Raw genomic sequence first — 19,105 nt, 5'->3', positions numbered from 1 at the left:
ATATAAAAATCAATTATTTCAGGACTAACTCAGACTCTGCCATGGAAGTGGCAGCATAAGCCTACTTGTGTGATAATGATGAGACCAAGTGTTAATGTCATTGTTACCTTTTTTTCATATTTCTGATCTTTTTATACATATTAGATGGCAAACATCCAGAGAAAGGGTCCCGAGTGGTACATCGTCATAGCCGGAAACAGTCAGAGCCACCAGCCAATGATCTTTTCAATGCTGTGAAAGCTGCCAAAAGTGACATGCAGGTAAAGCAGTGTCTCACCTCTGTTGATACCATCTCACTTTTTGTAAGGTGGTAAGGACAAGTGTCTACAAACTTGATTTGATGTGAACGTTTTAGTGAATGTAACATATCAAGAAAGATAAGATTATGGAGTGAATCCTTGGAGTGATAGAAGGGTAACCTTGAATGAGAGAGCATGTTCCTTTTTTTTTTTTGAGACAGAGTCTCTTTCTGTCACCCAGGCTGGAGTGCAGTGGCACAGTCTCGGCTCACTGCAGCCTCTGCCTCCTGGTTTCAAGCGATTCTCATGCCTCAGCCTCCCAAGTAGCTGGGATTACAGACAAGCACCACCACGCCCAGCTAATTTTTGTATTTTTAGTAGAGATGGGTTTCGCTGGTCTCCAACTCCTGACCTCAGGTGATCTGCCCGCCTCGGCCTCCCAAAGGAGGCTGGGATTACAGGCGTGCACCACTGCACCCAGCTTTGAGAGAGTGTGTTCTTTTCTTAAAGGTATCACAGGAGTGATTATGCCTTTATTGATTGATGGAGCAGATGAGGAGAGGCATTACATGACATGGGAAGGAAGCTTGCATGTGGGTGGCACCTTGTTCACCCATGTTATTTTTTTAGCTCCATCTTGACAATTATACTTTTTCCCCTGTTTCTCTTTTTTATAATTTTATTGAAGTTCTAATATCCAAAAGTGTACAAAGCTTATATGTAGTTTAAAAAATAAAAATGAAATGATTACCCAGATCTCTAGCCCCAGCTCAAGAAGTGAAACATTAATAGTGCTGTAGAGATCCTTTGTGTACCTTCTTTCTACCCTACCTCACAGTCCCCTTATTACCCATAGGTAAACACTAGGGTGAACTTTGTGTTAATCTTTCTCATCTTTCATTATAGTGTTACCACTATGAATGTGTTCTTTAATTATGTAAATGAATCCATTATTCAGGCTTCTGTGATTTAATTATTTCAGTTAAGATTGTTTGAGATTTATCCACATTAACATGTAGTTTTATAGTTTCTGGGAAAATATTTAAAATTTTCAAACATACAGAATTTTGCTAGTTATATTTTCATTATTTGATTTCTAACTTTTTTGTGTTGTATTCAGGGAATGTGGTGTTTGAAATTTATGTAGGGGCTGGGCACAGTGGCTCACACCTTTGATCCCAGCACTTGGGGAGGCTGAGGCAGGCAGATCACTTGAGGCCAGGAGTTTGAGACCAGCCTGGCCAACATGCTGAAACCCTGTCTCTACTAAAAATAAAAAAATTAGCTGCATGTGGTGGCGTTTGTCTGTAATCCCAGCCACTTGGGAGGCTGAGGCGTGAGAATTGCTTGAATCCGGGAGGCAGAGGTTGCAATGAGCTGAGATTGTGCCACGGCACTCCAGCCTGGGTAACAGAGTGAGACTCTGTCTCAAAAAAAAAAAAAAAGAAAGAAATTTATGGAGACTTAGCCTTATGGCCTAGTATTGAGTTGGTACATTCATTTTATCTTTTCTGTTTCTTTTTCCCCCTTTGCTTGATTTCCTTTGGATTTCTTGTCTTCTACAAGGACCTGAGCACATTTTAATTCCAGTTGTCTTTATAGGTTTACTAGGTTTATTGTGAGCCACTCATTTCCCTGGAGTTCTTATGTGCTGGAATCTTTGGGCTAGGTCAAACGTGGTTTTTTTTTTTTTTGAGACGGAGTCTCGCTCTGTCGCCCAGACTGGAGTGCAGTGGTGCGATCTCTGCTCACTGCAAGTCCGCCCCCCAGGTTCATGCCATTCTCCTGCCTCAGCCTCCCAAGTAGCTAGGACTACAGGTGCCCGCCACCACACTCAGCTAATTTTTTTGTATTTTTAGTAGAGATGGGGTTTCACTGTGTTCACCAGGATGGTCTTGATCTCCTGACCTCGTGATCTGCCCGCCTCGGCCTCCCAAAGTGCTGGGATTACAGGTATGAGCCACCACGCCCGGCCATGTTAGGTTCTTTTTTTAACCACAATTTAAAATTAAATGAAGGGGGCTGGGTGCAGTGCTCACGCCTGTAATCCCAGCACTTTGGGAAGCTGAGGCAGGCAGCTCACAAGGCCAGGAGCCCAACAGAGTGAACTCCTGGCCAACAGACTGAATCCCCGTCTCTACTAAAAATACAAAAATAGGCCGGGCATGATGGTGCACACCTGTAATCCCAGCTACTCGGGCGGCTGAGGCACAAGAATCACTTGAACCTGGGAGGCAGAGGTTATCATGAGCCAAGATTGCGCCAGTGCGCTCCAGCCTCAGTGACAGAGTGAGACTCTGTCTCAATAAATAAATAGGCTGGGCACAGTGGCTCAGGCCTGTAATCCCAGCACTTTGAGAGGATGAGGCAGGCGGATCACAAGGTCAGGAGTTAGAGACGAGCCTGACCAATATGGTGAAACCCCATCTCTACTAAAAATATAAAAATTAGCCAGGCATGGTGGTGTGCACCTGTAATCCCGGCTGCTTTGGGAGGGTGAGGCAGGAGAATCCCTTGAACCTGAGAGGGGGAGGCTGCACTGAGCCGAGATCATGCCATTGCACTCCAGCCTGGGTGACCAGAGTGAGACTCCATCTCAAAAAGGAAGGAAGGAAGGAAGCGAGGGAGGGGAGGGGAGGAAGAAAGGGAGGGAAAATATATATTATCTGGGCCAGTAAAATGCAGATGAAGGAAAAGGACCATGATCCTTTGAATGGAAGATGGATCCACTGTAATCCAGGTATGGGAGAATACTGAACACTAATGTCAAAAGAAACAATGTGCTGATGATCTGCAAGGCATTTCACAGAAGACAAAGAACACAAACAATGGAGAGGAGACTAACACAATCAAATACTGGGAGGTGAGGAAGGTAGACAGAATTCATGATTTTGGAATGTGCACAGTTTATCATCAGACATTCTGAGAAAGAAGGAAGTGAACTATCTCACTGGTACTGCTATGTTGTCAAGTAAAATATTCAACTAGGTTAAAAGTGTCAGACATATCAATCTGGAGGCAAACTGCAAAAATACACAAGAAAAAAGGTCTTAGAAGTTGAGATTAGAAAAACTCTTTTAAGGGATACAAAGAAAACCAAAAAAGTAGAAAACGGGTTCTAGGGGGACACTCCTGAAAAGGCAAGAAAAGGAACCAACATTCCCTTATGAAATTCACACTTCCTGAATGTCTACTATGGACAGAGCATGATGCCAGTTATGGGGAAGGGGAAATGAACACACAGACGGGTCATAAATGAGCACTGGGGAAAGAGGGGAAAGCTGAGGGAGCGCTATATCATCACATCAACTGAGCATGGACTTGGGGAAATAAGGTAAACCACAAGCTGTGACTCAATTCGCAAGCATAGGTAGAGGACGAGGTTTTGGTATCTGAATGCCTAAAGAAGTAAATAAAATCGAGGGCAGAAAATAAGTCCAAGGTATTTTTAAAGCAAGGAAGGAAAGAAAATGGAAGATTAAAAGAATGAACCTAAAAGTCTCAAGTTAATTTTTATGTCAGACTTCTGAATGCCCCAAAACAAAACAATTCTGTAAGGCCGAAAGCAGTGGCTCAGGACTGTAATCTCAGCACTTTGGAAGGCTGAGGTGGGCAGATCACTTGAGGCCAGAAGTTCAAGACCAGCATGGCCAACATGGTGAAACCCAGTCTCTATTAAAAATACAAAAATTAGCCAGGCGTGGTGACATGTGCCTGTAATCCCAGCTACTCAGGAGGCTGAGGAAGGAGAATCGCTTGAACCTGAGAGATAGTGGTTGCAGTGAGCGAGAACATACCAGTGCACACCAGCCTGGGTGATAGAACAAGACTCTGTCTCCAAAAAACAAACAAACAAACAAACAAACAAAAAACTCACAACAATTCTCTAATGGCGAGGGAGTAAATAAGTGAGCGATAATGCTGGAGAAAGAGGAAGTGACTGGGTCCCCAGTACAGGTTAGAATGAAAAAATCCCTACCAATGTAAATCAAATGTAAAATCAACAAAAGAGTTCATGTATGTGGTATGTGTGTGGGAAGGAAAGTGATATTTGGGGGTTGGGAGGTGTTACTGAGGGTACCGAGTACATATAAACAACTCTTTAGTCACTCCCAAAGGTCGGGGATGAGTGTTTTTTAACATGTGATAATCTACTAACTTACCTGGACTATGTTGACATGGAAATTCACCTTCCATTATCCACGGCTCCTCTCCCTGCTCCACTTCCTTCACCTCCACTCCATGATGATGTTTGGCTTGGTGATAATCATACCCTGTTAATGGGAAAAGAAGAAGGACTTGGGCAAGCTGCTTGGCTTCAGAATCTCCAAAGTACAAGATGTTGCCACCTCATAAGCTGCATAACAGAAGTGCTCCATTTTTTACCTTATCAAAGTTAGAACCTTTCAATGAAGAATAATATAAACGCTCCAGCTAGTGCCCACAAGGAATTAAATGGTGTCATCACTTATTTCTTCAAACTCAAGGATAAAACCCCATTCAACTGAGAGCATTCAGAAAGCAAGCTATCCTCACCCACAGAAACTAGATGGCTGTAGTTCTCCAACATCACATCCCCGTATGCTATCTTCTCATCAGGGTCCAGTTGCTGCCACTCCTCCTGGGTGAAATCCACAGCCACATCTTTGAATGACACTGGCCCCTGTAATGGCAACATGATCAGAATTGGGAGATATGGAAAAGGGATAGGGGGATATCATTTTACAAAGCTCACTCGTAAAGTTAACCATGAACATTGTATACCTTATTTTATGTTACAGATTATGGAAGGGAAATCATATTGGAAATCATACAGGAAACATATATCCTTTGGGGATATATATATATAAAATATATATTACCCCACAAAAATAAAAACCCAAAACACAACTGAGCTCCTATTTTGCAACTGAACTGAGTTTTGGGGACATGAGATGAGTGAAACACCATGCCTGCTCTGAGAAAGCAGACAACCTAATAAGGAGATAAACATGTAAACAAACACAAGCATTTTACTCCTTGTCACTTCTTTGCTGCCAGGCCCTCCCCTTCTCCTGGACCTCTTCATGTTGGAGTGCCCACCACTCAGTTCCTGGTCTTCTTCTTCCTAACTCACTGCTCTGGGGCTCTCACCTAGTTTCAGCTCCTTGTTCTTTTGTCTTTTTTATTCTCATAGCCAGTGGCCTCTGGCTATCTGCATGGCTGAGTTTTATCTCAAACATCTCAATCTCACAGCAATAAATATTCATTAAATGAATGAATGCCCAAAGCTGTTATTAGAGTAATGCAGACAAGGTGCAGAATGATTTAACAAAAGAGGATCAAATTATTTTAACTTTATGCCATCAGTTAGGCTTCACAGACTCAGTTAACTTGAAGTCCTTAAAGATGAATTGTGTATTCTATGGGATGAAGGGGAAGAAGAATATGATGAGGTGTAAAAAGTACCAATGGCAAACATGAAGCAGCTTCAATTTTTAAGAGGTTGGGGCTGGGCATGGTGGCTCATGCCTATAGTCCTAGCACTTTGGGAGGCCGAGATGGGAGGATCATTTGAGCTCAGGAGTTCGAGGCCACGTTGGGCAACATAGTAAGAACCTCATCTCTACTAAAAATAAAATTTTTTTTAAAAATTGGCTGGGCATCATGGCACATGCCTGTAGTTCCAGCTACCTGGGAGGCTAAGGCAGGAGGATGGCTTGAGCCTGGGAGGTCAAGGCTGCAGTGAGCTGTAAATGCGACACTGCACTCCATCCTAGGCAACAGAGCGAGACCTTGTCTCAAGAAAAAAAAAAGAAAAATGCAAAACTCCTGGGCTCCAGCAATCCACCTGCCTTGGCCTCCCAAAGTGTTGGGATTACAGTCTTGGGCCAGCATACCCTGCCCAAACTTGTAGTTTAGAAAAAGGAAGTGCCCAGTAAGCATGTTGCATTATCCTGTTATTTATAAAGAAGATATCAACAAGGGGTTCAAACCCAGTGATATAGCTAGGACAATGTAGATCCCAAGAGATAGCAGAGGCAGAGCCGCTAGGCTGGTGGGCTGAGAAACTAAAGCAGAACATCCAAGCTTATCCACAGGCAGGCCACAGGAGCTGATAAAATCACCGAGAGAGAGTAATAACCTTCTAGGTTAAGTTAGTCCAGAAGGCAAGGAGGTGGAGGGGTTAGAAGATGGATCAGCCAATAAATAACATAAAATTACATGCCAATACAATACCACTTATATCAATACAAATACCCAAAATGAAACATAACCAAACAAAATCCAGTACCAGATTAAAAACATAATATACAACAGACAAATAGGACTTATTCCAATAATATAGACTAGTTTAATATTTGGAAACCTATTAATATGATAGGCCACTATAACACAGCAAAGAAGAAAAATCTTGTATCCATGAAGATACTTGAAAAAGCTTGACAGAAAAACCTGATTTAAAAAAACAAACTAAAGAAAACAGAAACTGATGGATGCTTCATTAACATCAATATTATGTATATATACAAATATAAATATTACACCCTAATATGCAGTAGTACGTATGATATATATGTGACATATGTATTTCAATTACACACAAGCACATATATAGTTTGTGTATATACACACACACGCACATGCACGTGCACACACACACGCACACACATAAACTCTTATGCCTCAGTCTTCTTGGTCCAAAAGTCAGGATTTTACTTAACAGGGAAAAACTACATACCTTCCCATTAAGATCAAGAACAAGGTATTAATAAAATGCTCATTATCTACAACTAGAGAAGAGAAAACAATTAGAGGAATATAACTAAGGAAAAGTAAAAGTGCTCGGGCGGCCAGGCGCGGTGGCTCACGCCTGTAATCCCAGCACTTTGGGAGGCCAAGGCGGGCGGATCACGAGGTCAGGAGATCGAGACCATCCTGGCTAACACGGTGAAACCCCGTCTCTACTAAAAATACAAAAAATTAGCCGGGCATGGCGGCGGGTGCCTGTAGTCCCAGCTACTCGGGAAGCTGAGGCAGGAGAATGAAGGGAACCCAGGAGGCGGAGTTTGCAGTGAGCCGAGATTGTGCCAGTGCACTCCAGCCTGGGCGACGAGTGAGACTCCATCTCAAAAAAAAAAAAAAAAAAGTGCTCGGGCACGGTGGCTCACGCCTGTAATCCCAACACTTTGGGAGGCTGAGGCGGGCAGATCACCTGAGGTCAGGAGTTTAAGACCAGCCTGGTCAACATGGTGAAACCCCATCTCTACTAAAAATCAAAAAAAAAAAAAAAATTAGTTGTATTATTAAGGTCAACGTAATAATACAAAGATATCAGTTACCCTAAATTACTTTATAAATATGCAATCCCAATAAAAATACCAAAAAGCTTTTTCCTGGAACTAGATAAGCCGACACTACAGTTCATATGAGGTGGAAGAAAATCAAAAACAGCTCAGGGAAAAAAACCATTTGGACATGGATAAAACTGGATCCAGGCCAGGTGTGGTGGCTCATGCCTGTAATCCCAGCACTCTGGAAAGCTGAGGCAGAAGGACTGCTTGAGGCCAGGAGCTTGAGACCAGCCTTGGCAACAGAGCAAGACCCTGTCTCTACAAAGAAAAAAATATATATATTAGAAAAAATAGAGAGAGAGAGACATGAGGACTTCTGCCCTCAGGTGTGATAAACTAACAGGTACTGCATATACCCTCCAACCTGAAACAGCACACACCAAAGAACAACAACAAAATCAAAAACAGAAAGAAAAATAAAATGGAGAACATATATGAAGCAATGGTTTGTTTGTTTTTGTTTTTGTTTTTTTTGAGACAAAGTCTCGCTCTTGTCTTCCAGGCTGGAGTGCAATGGCACAATCTTGGCTCACTGCAACCTCCGTCTCCCGAGTTCCAGCGATTCTCCTGCCTCAGCCTCCCAAGTAGCTGGGATTACAAGCATGCATCAGCATGCCTGGCTAATTTTTGTATTTTTAGTAGAGACGGGGTTTCACCATGTTGGTCAGGCTGGTCTTGAACTCCTGACCTCATGATCCGCCTGCCTTGGCCTCCCAAAGTGCTGTGATTACAGGTATGAGCCACCACGCCTGGGCTGAAGCAATGGTTTTCAAGGCACTGATTATCAGGCAGTAGAGTTATCTATGAGTGATGGGAAATAAGGTGAACCAATCAACTTCTGCCTTGAGCGTTTCCAGGCCATGGAGCAGGGAAGAAGAACCGAGGCAGATGTGAGGAGAAAGAGTTGTGGGATGGGAAAATGGGCAGGAAATTACAACCCATAAGGAAGAAAAGAATCAGTCCATCAAAACTGGCCCAGAATTGACACAGAGTTCACAACCGGCACAGAGCACTGAGAGAGTTCATCGTTCTATTCCAAATGTTCAAAAAAATCAAGACAGGCAAGATGTAAAAAAGACCCACGCTAACGTTCTACAGATAGTACAATATCTGAGATGAAAATTATACTGGAAAAGATGAACAGCATCGTGGAAAAAAGAGATTAGTGAATATAAAGACAGCAACAGAAGTTACATAAAATGAAACAGAGAAAAAAGAATTAAAAGCAAATAAAGAGCAACAGTGTGTTGTGGGAAAATTTCAAGTGGCCTAATATACAGGCAACAAGAATCAATGGAGGGGAGGTGGCGGGTACTTGAAGAGATAATGATAAAAATGTTCCCCAAGTGATGACACCATAAACCCAAGATCCAAGAAGTTCAATGATCCCCAAAACAGAAACATGAAAAAAATGATACCATGACATATTGCAATCAAATTGTCCAAAACTAGTGATAAAAAGTTTAAAACAATAAGGGGGGAAGAAAAAAAGACATGTTATATATAGGGGAACAAACATGAGTATGAGATCAGATTTCTCTTAGAAAAAAATGTAGGCAGGAAGACAACAGAGAAACATATTTAAAGCACTGTGGAGAAAAATCCAGCAAAAACACCTTTAAAAGCAAAGACACAATGAAGACATTTGCAGACATATAATAATTCATCATCAACTAGAAGAAATGTTAAAGTCCTTCAGGCAGAAGTAAAATGACAGCAAATAAAAATTTAGATTTACACAAAGGAATGAAGAGTACCAGAAATGGTAACTGTGTATTTTCTCTCATTACTTAAATCTCTTTAAAAGATACCTGGGCCAAGTGTGGTGGCTCACACTTGTAATCCCAGCACTTTGGCCGGCTGAGGCAGATGGGTGACCTGAGGTCAGGAGTTCGAGACCAGCCTGGCCAACATGGCGAAACCTCGTCTCTACTAAAAATACAAAAATTAGCCGGGCGTGATGGTGGGTGTCTGTAATCCCAGCTACCCAGGAGGCTGAGGCAGGAGAATCACTTGAACCTGGGAGGCAGAGGTTGCAGTGGGCCAAGATAGCACCCCTGCACTCCAGCCTGGGGGACAGAGTGAGACTCTGTCTCAAAATAAATAAATAAATAAATAAATAAATAAATACTGTTTAATTAACAACAACGTAATAGATAGTGTGTGGCACTGATACCACCTGTAAAAATAAAATGAACAACGGTGTAAAGACCAAGAGGAGAGAAATGGAAGTGTCCTATTACAAGCTTCTCTTATTCTAAGAAAAATGGATATTACTTAAGAATAAACTATGACAATGAAAGTTGCATACTATAAATTCTAACTCACTAAAATAACAAAACAGTGTCATAGCTAAAAACCCAACAAAAGATATAAAGTAGAATCATAAAAAATTCTCAACTAATCAAAAGGAAGGAAGACAGAGACATTTTAAAAAGAAACAAAGAAGATGAGACTAAAAGAAAGCAAAGACAACAGACTATAACCTAACTCATTTTATCAATAATCACATTACATGTAAACAGTCTATACATCCCCAATTATGAGACAGAAATAGACTGATGAAAACAAGCAAGATCCAAATTTTGCTGCCTATAAGAAATAATACTTTAGATATAAAGATGCAAATAGGTTAAAAATAAAAGGATGGAATAAGATATACCATGCATGTATTACTCAAAAGAATGCTACATAAATAACAAAGTACATTTCACAGCCTGGAATATTAGCAGGGATAAGGAAGGCCATTTTACAAAGTGGTTAATTAATCAACAGGATGTAATAACCTTGAACATTTATGTATCTAACATAACACATAAAGCAAAAAGTGGTAAAATTGCAAAGAGAAACAGAACCACAACTGCAGCAGATTTCAATCCCCTCTCCCCCACAACTGACACAAGTGGGCACACAATCAACAAGGATATAGTACACCTGAACAACACAACCAACCAACTTGATCTCATTAACATTTATCAAACACTCCACCCAACCAGAGCAGAACAAGCCATCTTCTCAGGCATGCACAGAATTTTCCCAAGACAGATCCTGTTCTGAGCCATAAATTTAAGAGGTTCCATGTAGCATTCCAGACAAAAATTCACAGACTAAATCTAATCATGAAGAAAGATCAGGGAAACCTAAATTTAAAGACTTCTATAAAATCATTGGCCTGTATTCTGCAAATGTTATAATGGCACTGCGGAACAAATCCGTATTAAACAGACTTAAAAAGCATGAAAACTAAAGGCAATTAACAGTCCTAGACTGAATCTTCTACCAAAAATTAAAAATTGCTATAAAGGAAATTATTGGGAAATTGGCAAAACTGGAAAATGAAATATAGTTTAGATAAAAGTATTAAATCAATGATAAATTTCCTGAATTCAATTACTGTGCTATGGATATTTAATAGAATATTCTTGATTTTATGAGCTCTAATCTAAAATTTATAGGGTAAAGAAGCTGACACTTATACCACTCTCAAATAGTTCAGAAAATATATATATATATAAATATATATATACACATACATATATAGGCATATAAATGATTAATGTGGGAAAATGTTAAGAATGAAGTATCTGAACAAAAGGAAGTATCTGGGATTTCTTTGTAAAATCCTTGCAATTTTTCTGAAAATCTGAAATGATTTCAAAATAAAATGCTAAATAGAAAATAATGCTACCAAATATATGTATATATTTGCTATCAAATATATATGTATATATTTGCTATCTTCTATATATTATATGTATATATTTGCTATCTACTATATATTATCTGCTTTTTGTTGCTATCTAATATCTATTATATGTGCATTTTTGCAATCATTTATTTTTTATATGTGCTCTTTTGCTATCATATTTTGCAAATATATCTCAAAAGGACTCAGAAACCAACTTAAAGGGATTCCGTCTGGCCAAAGATGGAACCACTTTAGCATTTTATTTTGAAATCATATAAATTTATATATATTTGCTATCAAATATATACATATATTTGCTATCAAATATATATGTATATATTTGCTATCAAATATATATTATATGTATATATTTGCTATCAAATATATATTATATGCATATATTTGCTATCAAATATATATTATATGTATATATTTGCTATCAAATATATATTATATGTATACATTTGCTATCATATATATCAAATATATCTCAAAAGGACTCAGAAACCAACTTAAAGGGATTCCGTCTGGCCAAAGATGGAACCACTTAATTTTCAAAAAGAATCACAACTTCTATGTACTGAAATATTTACTATCTGTTTAAACCCATGAGCTCATGATGGTTAACAAAACAAAATACCCTCCTGCTTAAAAGCCTACTCAATATTTTAGAAACTGTCTTTCCTGCATGAATTACATAAACAAACAGAGAATAGAAATTTATCTTTAGAAAAGTATTCTAGGCCAGCCGTGGTGGCTCATGCCTATAATCCCAACACTGGGAGGTCAAAGAAGAGGATCACTTGAGCCCAGTTCCAGACCAGCCTGGGCAACATAGAGAAACCTGTCTCTACTAAAAATTTAAAAATCCGCTGGGCATTGTGGCATATGACTATACTCCCAGCTACTTGGGAGGCTGAAGTGGGAGGATCACTTGAGCACAGGAGTTTGAGGCTGCAGTGAGCCATAAACGTGCCAGCCTGGGTGACAGAGTGAGACTCTGTCTCCAAAAAAAGAAAAGAAAGGTATTTTGGCTAGTAAATAAAGAAGAAATGGTAGAATTAGCAGATCACCATTTTGCCTCCCCTAATGAAGGCAAATCACAGCAATAGTAAATCACAGCAATAATCAACAGTCAATAGTTCTTAACTTCACAAAAACAAAGAAGGTAACACGTGCCTCCAGAAGTAGACAAATGCCACATATGGTATAGTTGTGTGAAAAGAACTGAACATAAACCTGATTAGACTTCCAGATCAAACTACCAATTTTACCAAGGCATAAAAGATATTTTTTAAAAATGTGCTAAAGGTGAAACAAGGGTAACACAATCCAAACTGAAGATAACCAACCCAGTTTCTTCAAAACAATAAGCACACAGGAGACATACTATGGGAACTATTAAAAGATTTAACCCAACTGCCACATGTATTAAGAAAGAGAGTATTATGGGTTATTCCTAGCCCCTTTTAAAAAGATTCCTTATTGGCCAGGTGTGGTGGCTTACACCTGTAATCCTACCACTTTGGGAGGCCAAAGTGAAAGGACTGCTTGAGGCCAGGAGTTTGAGACCAGCCTGAGCAATACAGTGAGAGTACATTTCTAGGCCGGGAGCAGTGGCGCATGCCTGTAATCCTAACACTTTGGGACGCCGAGGCGGGCAGACTGCCTGAGCTCAGGAGTTCGACATGCATGACACGGTGAAAGCCAGTCTCTACTAAAATACAAAAAAACTAGCGAGGTGTGGCAGCGTGCACCTGTAGTCCCAGCTACGCGGGAGGCTGAGGCAAGAGGATCGTGTGGGCCCGGGAGATTGAGGTTGCAGTGAGTTGTGATCATGTCTCTACACTCCAGCCTGGGCGACAGAGCAAGACCCTATCTCAAAAAAAGAAAAAAAGAAACAAAACAAAACAGACTTCACCATTTAAAGACAAACAAATACTTACAGATGAATCTTTTCAAAAGCCAAGAAAAGAGAGACTCCATGGAGAAAATATCAGTTTGGAAGTAACGGATGTCAAAGGCAGACAAAGGGTCCTGTGAGGAAGGGGCTAGGAAATGCCCGCTGGATTTGACTGCAATTAAATCACTGGTCACCTTTACTGACTGACTTAGCAAAGTGAAAAGGACAAAACGAAAACACTGAGAAGTGAAATGAGAAACAGAAATGAGGAAATCTTCACAAGAGAGTACTGTTTGTATTGTTTGCTGTGCAACCCGAACAAAAAGACGAACAAATATTTGACGGATGATCACGTCATTCATTCCCCCCATGATCTAGGACTCAACAGTAAAAACAGAATTGTTTACTTGGATCACGATATTTCCGTCCCTGGAAAAATTATGCACCAAGTTCTCCTTGGGCAGCAGGCCCTCTGCTTACATAAGCACCGAGAATAAGCCATAAGTTACAGTAATTTAATGGTTGTTGTTAGGAAAGCTATCCACAATTATATCAACTTGAATGAAGAAATTTTTCCAAGTCCTAGAAAATCTTTTAAATGCACAAGTAACAAAACTGGTTTCTCCTTATAATCAATGCAAACGATGTCATGGATGGTGATATGGTTTCGGTGTGTGTCGCCTCCCAAATCTCATGTTCAATTGTAATCCCCAATGTTCCCTCTTCCTCCTGCTCTGGTGATGGAAGATGCACCCGCTTTCCCTTCACCTTTCACCTGACTGTAAGTTTCCTGAGGCCTCCTCAGCCATGCTTCCTATGATAGAGCCTGCAGACGTGAGCCAATTAAACCTTTTTTCTTTATAAATTACCCAGTCTTGGTTATTTCTCTATAGCAGTGTGAGAATGGACTAATACAGATGGCATTTTCCTTTTGTGATGACTGCCAAGAATATCAGTCCTAGGTGCGGCTCAATTTCAACAGCCTTAAAATATACTACCCATACATACAAGCTTCACAAATCATTTTTGGTGCTGATCTGCCACACTAACTATATTTTACAGGATAATGTCTATTTCCACATTCCCATTTTAAAGTATGAATCCTGGCTGGGCTCGGTGGCTCATGCCTGTAATCCCAGCACTTTGGGAGGCTGAGGCGGGAGGATCACCTGAGGTCAGGAGTTTGAGACCAGCCTGGCCAACATAGTGAAACCCCATCTCTTCTAAAAATACAAAAAATTAGCTGGGCATGGTGGCGCACGCCTGTAATCCCTGCTACTCAGGAGGCTGAGGCAGGAGAATCACTTGAACCCAGGAGGTGGAGGTTGCAGTGAAGCGAGATCATGCCACTGCACTGCAGCCTGGGCAACAGAGCAAGACTCCATCTCAAAAAAAAGAAAAAAAAAAGTATGAATCCTTACAAACCTCTTAAAATGCATCATAAAATAAAGTTGAGGAACATATACACAAGCAGGAAAACTCACCTGCAATGTGTTCATTTTCTGCTGCTCTTGGAAACTTGCAGAGACTGTGGCTGATAGACCTAGAGGGGCAGAAGCAGGTCACTGAAGTCATGAGGGCTCCGGCCTGCAAAGGCAGAAATCACCTGCATAAGAACCACAAAAGAAAGCTCAATAGGCTAACACCCTGTGAACACTCAACCTGCAAACACTCAGAAGGGTCTAAAAGAGTGACACAGGGTTTCGCCATGTTGGCCAGGCTGGTCTCAAATTCTGGCCTCAAGTGATCCACCTGCCTGGGCCAACATGGCAAAACCCCGTCTCTACTTAAAAATAACAAAAAAAATTAGCCAGGCATAGTGTCACATGCCTGTAGTCCCAGCTACTCAGGAGGCTGAGGCACGAGAATCCTTTGAACCTGGGAGGTGGAAGTTGCAGTGAGCCGAGACCACGCTGTTGCATTCCAGACTGGGTGAGACACACTGTCTCAAAAAAAAAAAAAAAAAAAAAGAGTGATAGGGAAGCATGCGCCTGTAACTCTAAGATAATCAGGTAGTAATTAGATGAGTTAGACTCTCATGGGTAACACGACTCCTTTTACAAATAGTCTGCCATCATCATCAAATACAAGGTGCAAAAAGAAAAAAAATTCCCATTATACGGCTCATGTTTTTTGTGGTTTGTTTGTTGAGACAGGGTCTCAATCTGCCACCCAGGCTGGAGTGCAGTGGTGCATTCACGGCTCTCTGCAGCCTCGACCTCCTGGGCTCCATCCATCCTCCCACTTCAGCCTCCTGAGTAGCTGGGACCACAGATGCATCCCAGCATGCCTGGCGACTTTTGTATTTTTTGTAGTCAGGGTCTCCCCATGTTGTCTAGGCTGGTCTCTAACTCCTGGTCTCAAGGGATACTCTTGCCCTAGCCCCGCAAAGTGCTCGGATTACAGGTGTGAGCCACTGCATCCCGCCCGCATTTTCTTATTGTCTCTCTAAACTGCTTAAAATAAAATAAGCCATAGGAATTGAGTATGTGAGCTCTCAGAAATGAAATGAATGTGTATAAAATATGGTTTTGTTTCTAAATTATCTAACTGAACTTGGTTATTGCTGCACCTAATAATCTTCTATTAAGAAAACTAGGATACGGGAGAAAGAACACTGGCCTGGGAGATAAGTCTCCTGGGTTCTACTATGAGCAGCTCTACCCACAAAGCCGGTGACCTGGTCAAGTCACCCACCTGCTAAGGCCCAGTCTCTTCCCCTAGCAACTGAGGCAGCAGGAGAGAATCCCTGCAGACTGTTCCTGCATTACTACGATTCTCCCAGGGCAGATCTAAGGGGGGGATCAGCAGACACTTAAGTGAGAGAATAGAAGTGCTGACGGACGTTTAAAGGCGGTCCAAATCTGGAGCACGGAGAGGAGGAGGAAGGACTGTTAGGGGTTAGCGGGGAGTGGAGACGACGTCCGCAGCTGAGGGTGGTGACACCCTCCACGCCTCCGTAAGCCTCGTCCTCCCAGATCTTCCCATGCAGCGCCTGTTCGGTGCAGCCAGACCCTGCCCTCAAACCCAACACATGTCTCTCCGGCAAGCAATCGGGACCCTCCCTCTGCCCCACACTCTAAGGTCCCCAACACACGGTGACTTCACCCAGGCCCTTCTCGCTCCGGGCCCAAAAACCCAAGACTTACCCTCCTGGGGCTCCGCAGCCTCTGCCCCACGGCTCCCGAGAGGCCGGGGCGGGCTGCTGTCGCTGGCGCGCGCGTCTGCTCGCGAGGTCACCTCCTGTCCACCTCACCAAAGCTGTTCTGCTCCCGAGGGGCCCGGGCCGGGCCTACGGGGCAAATCCAGGCGGGGGTCCTTCTCGGGGCCCAGATCCGCCTCCCTGGGGCTCACCGTACAGCGACGGCCGGCGCCAGGCCGCCGAGGACACACACGGGCCAGGCCCAGGTCCCGTCGCCCCTTCGCCTCCGCCACCACCTCCCGCCCGGCCCCTCTGGCCCCAGCGCCGCCGGCTCCGGGGTTCACGCTCGGGGGTCCCGGCTCGAGCCTCTACCCGGCCCGCGTGAACCCTGGGCCGCACAGCTCCCGCCCGCCTAGGTGCTGGCCCGGGCAGTCAGCGTCCAGCCCCGCAGACTCGGTGATTCTCGTCCACTAGAGGCCAAAGCCTGGGAACGAGAGCAAGCGATGACCTGAAGAGGCGCAGGAAGCCAGGGCAGTGCGGAGGTGGCGCGCATGTGCAAGCACGCACGCGCGAACACGCACGCAGGGAGAGGTGCACACGCGCAGGAGTGCACCGGAAGTCCGCCTCCCGGGACACCCACCACCGGTCCCAGGACAAGTAACGGACTCTATTTCCCATGAGCCTATGCGCTCCCCAAGTTTAGGGGCCGTCTTAAATGTCTCTACCCTGCCTAAAGGTTAAGAAGCTCCAGCCTATGAGCTTTACGCGCCCTCCAAGTTTAGGGGCCATTTTAAATGTCTCTACCCCGCCTAAAGGTGAAGAAGCTCCAGGCTATGAGCTTTGGCAACCCTGAACCCCGGACTGAACTTCACCTTTGTCTTTACTCCCTTTTAGGGTCAAGTCCAGGGCTGCGTTACTGGGTCCTGGAGCCCAAGTCCTCTGGGTTAGAACCAAGTTTCCCATAAGGAGAAGGAAAGGAAAGGGTGTATCATGGTCACTGCTCTGAAATGCTGAGAAGTTTCACTCAAATACTGGGACAGGATAAATGCCCAGCGATGCTTTCCAAGGAACAAAAAGAAAATAGAATTTGTAGCTGGGCGCGGTGGCTCAAGCCTGTAATCCCAGCACTTTGGGAGGCCGAGGCGGGCAGATCGCAAGGTCAAGAGATAGAGATCATCCTGGCCAACATGATGAAACCCTGTCTCTACTAAAAATACAAAAATTAGCTGGGCGTGGTGGCGCGTGCCTGTAATCCCAGCTACTCGGGAGGCTGAGGCAGGAGAATCACTTGAACTTGGGAGGTGGAGGTTGCAGTGAGCCGAGATCACGCCACTGCACTCCATCCTGGCGACAAAGCGAGACTCCATAGCTTTTCTAGATCACACAGTGAATGCCTAAAAACTGTAGAGAAATAAGGACATACACACACAAATTGAATGAAGAAGAGATACCTGTGATCTTACCTTCCCCAGGAGGATTATGTTTAGGGTTAGGTTATGTTGACCAAAAAGAGTCAAAGTCTGTAAAGAGTTTTATTCTGGGCCTCCTATTTGAGTGACCATGGCTGGTGACACAACCTCAGGGGGTCCTGAAAACGTGAGCCCAAAGTGGTTGGGTTACAGCTTGGTTTTATGCATCTTAGGGAGACAGTAGTTACAGGCAAAGACATAAATCAATACATGGGAAGTATATGTTGGGTCAGCCAGGAAAGGCTTTCAGGTCACTAGTAGATTGAAAGATTGGCAGTTGGTTCAGAGTTAAGTGTTGGCTGAACAGCTGGAAGACTACATAAAGAAATGGGCCATTGCAGTGGCTCATGCCTGTAATCCCAGCATTTTGGGAGGGTGAGCTGGGAGGATCCCTTGAGGCCAGGAGTTCAAGGACAGCCTGCGCAACACAGCGAGACCCCCTACTTCTACAAAAAAAATAATTATACAGGTGTGGTGGTGCATGCCTGTAGACTCAGCTACTCAGGAGGCTGAGATGGGAGGATCGCTTGAGCCTGGGAAGTTGAGGCTACAGTGAGCCATGATGGCACCACTGCATTCCAGCTTGGGCAACAGAGAAGAAAAGAGAGAGAGAGAGAGAGAGAAAGAGAGAGAGGAAGGAAGGAAGGAAAAGAAAGAGGGAGGGAAAAAAAGAAAGAAAAGTTTGAGTTAAGATAAGGGGGATTGTGGAAACCAAGGTTCTTGTTATGTAGGTGAAGCCTCAGAACAGGCTTCAGAGAGAATAGATGATAAATATCTCTTATTGGATCTTAAAAGGTGTCAGACTCTCCAGAAAAGACCTGGAGTCTTTTCTGTAAGGGAAAGAGATTCTCTACAGAATGCAAATTTCCCCCAAAGAGATGGCTTTGCAGGACTATTTTAAAGTTTGTCAAAGAAAATATGTTACGGGGTAAAATACTGTGATTTACTTCAGGGACTGCTATCTGTCATGTGATGCTATATCAGAGTCTGGTTGGAGATGGGTATCTTACTGATAAAAAGAGCCTGTTTTGTCAGTCCTATGATCTCTATTCTAATAGAGATCATAATGTTGGTCAGCTGTGCCTAAACTCTGACGGGAGGAGAATTATGACAAGGCATGTCCAACCCCCTCCTTCCCATCATGACCTAAATTAGTTTTCCATGTTTATTTTGGATCCTGTTGGCCAACAGGGGAGTCCACTGAGTCAGTTGTGGGGGCTTAGAATTTTATTTTTGGTTTACAATTAAAATGTCAATTTTCAAAAATGGGATCATAAAGACAATGATTCATCACAATTTTTTGGTGAAATCTAACAGTGTTCTTGCCCAG

At 42.8% G+C, this 19,105-nt stretch overlaps 1 long non-coding RNA gene and 1 pseudogene across 4 annotated transcripts in view, besides 3 other annotated features; both read right to left on the bottom strand.

Annotated features, from left to right (window-relative positions):
• Positions 1-16,864, bottom strand: part of LOC100630923 (LOC100289561-PRKRIP1 readthrough) — a 62,822-nt gene extending 45,958 nt beyond the window's left edge. The window contains 4 exon segments of the long non-coding RNA NR_038967.1: positions 4,403-4,513; positions 4,776-4,902; positions 14,649-14,770; positions 16,314-16,864. This is a non-coding gene — a long non-coding RNA (LOC100289561-PRKRIP1 readthrough).
• On the bottom strand, positions 92-16,842 carry LOC100289561 (uncharacterized; annotated as a pseudogene). 3 transcript variants are annotated; one of them, NR_171051.1, is made up of 5 exons: positions 16,314-16,842; positions 14,649-14,770; positions 4,776-4,902; positions 4,403-4,513; positions 92-240 (listed from the first exon to the last, which is right to left on the bottom strand). The product of NR_171051.1 is annotated as an uncharacterized LOC100289561, transcript variant 1 (transcript). The 3 variants fall into 3 exon arrangements; NR_171049.1 differs by having other exon boundaries at positions 14,649-14,751; NR_171050.1 differs by having other exon boundaries at positions 14,649-14,707; positions 16,519-16,842.
• Positions 16,081-16,330: an enhancer, noted in NCBI's record as "active region_26427". NCBI's record gives its function as "activates an Ori minimal core promoter by ATAC-STARR-seq in GM12878 lymphoblastoid cells {active_cell/tissue: GM12878}" and the evidence as "EXISTENCE:reporter gene assay evidence [ECO:0000049][PMID:35858748]".
• Positions 16,551-16,770: a silencer, noted in NCBI's record as "silent region_18502". NCBI's record gives its function as "represses an Ori minimal core promoter by ATAC-STARR-seq in GM12878 lymphoblastoid cells {active_cell/tissue: GM12878}" and the evidence as "EXISTENCE:reporter gene assay evidence [ECO:0000049][PMID:35858748]".
• Positions 16,851-17,170: an enhancer, noted in NCBI's record as "active region_26426". NCBI's record gives its function as "activates an Ori minimal core promoter by ATAC-STARR-seq in GM12878 lymphoblastoid cells {active_cell/tissue: GM12878}" and the evidence as "EXISTENCE:reporter gene assay evidence [ECO:0000049][PMID:35858748]".

The sequence above is a fragment of the Homo sapiens genome, chromosome 7 (assembly GCF_000001405.40).
Source record: "Homo sapiens chromosome 7, GRCh38.p14 Primary Assembly".
Classification (NCBI taxonomy): Eukaryota; Metazoa; Chordata; class Mammalia; order Primates; family Hominidae; genus Homo; species Homo sapiens.
Note: the sequence above shows the minus strand (reverse complement) of the source record. Positions and strands in the feature narration are given on the sequence as shown.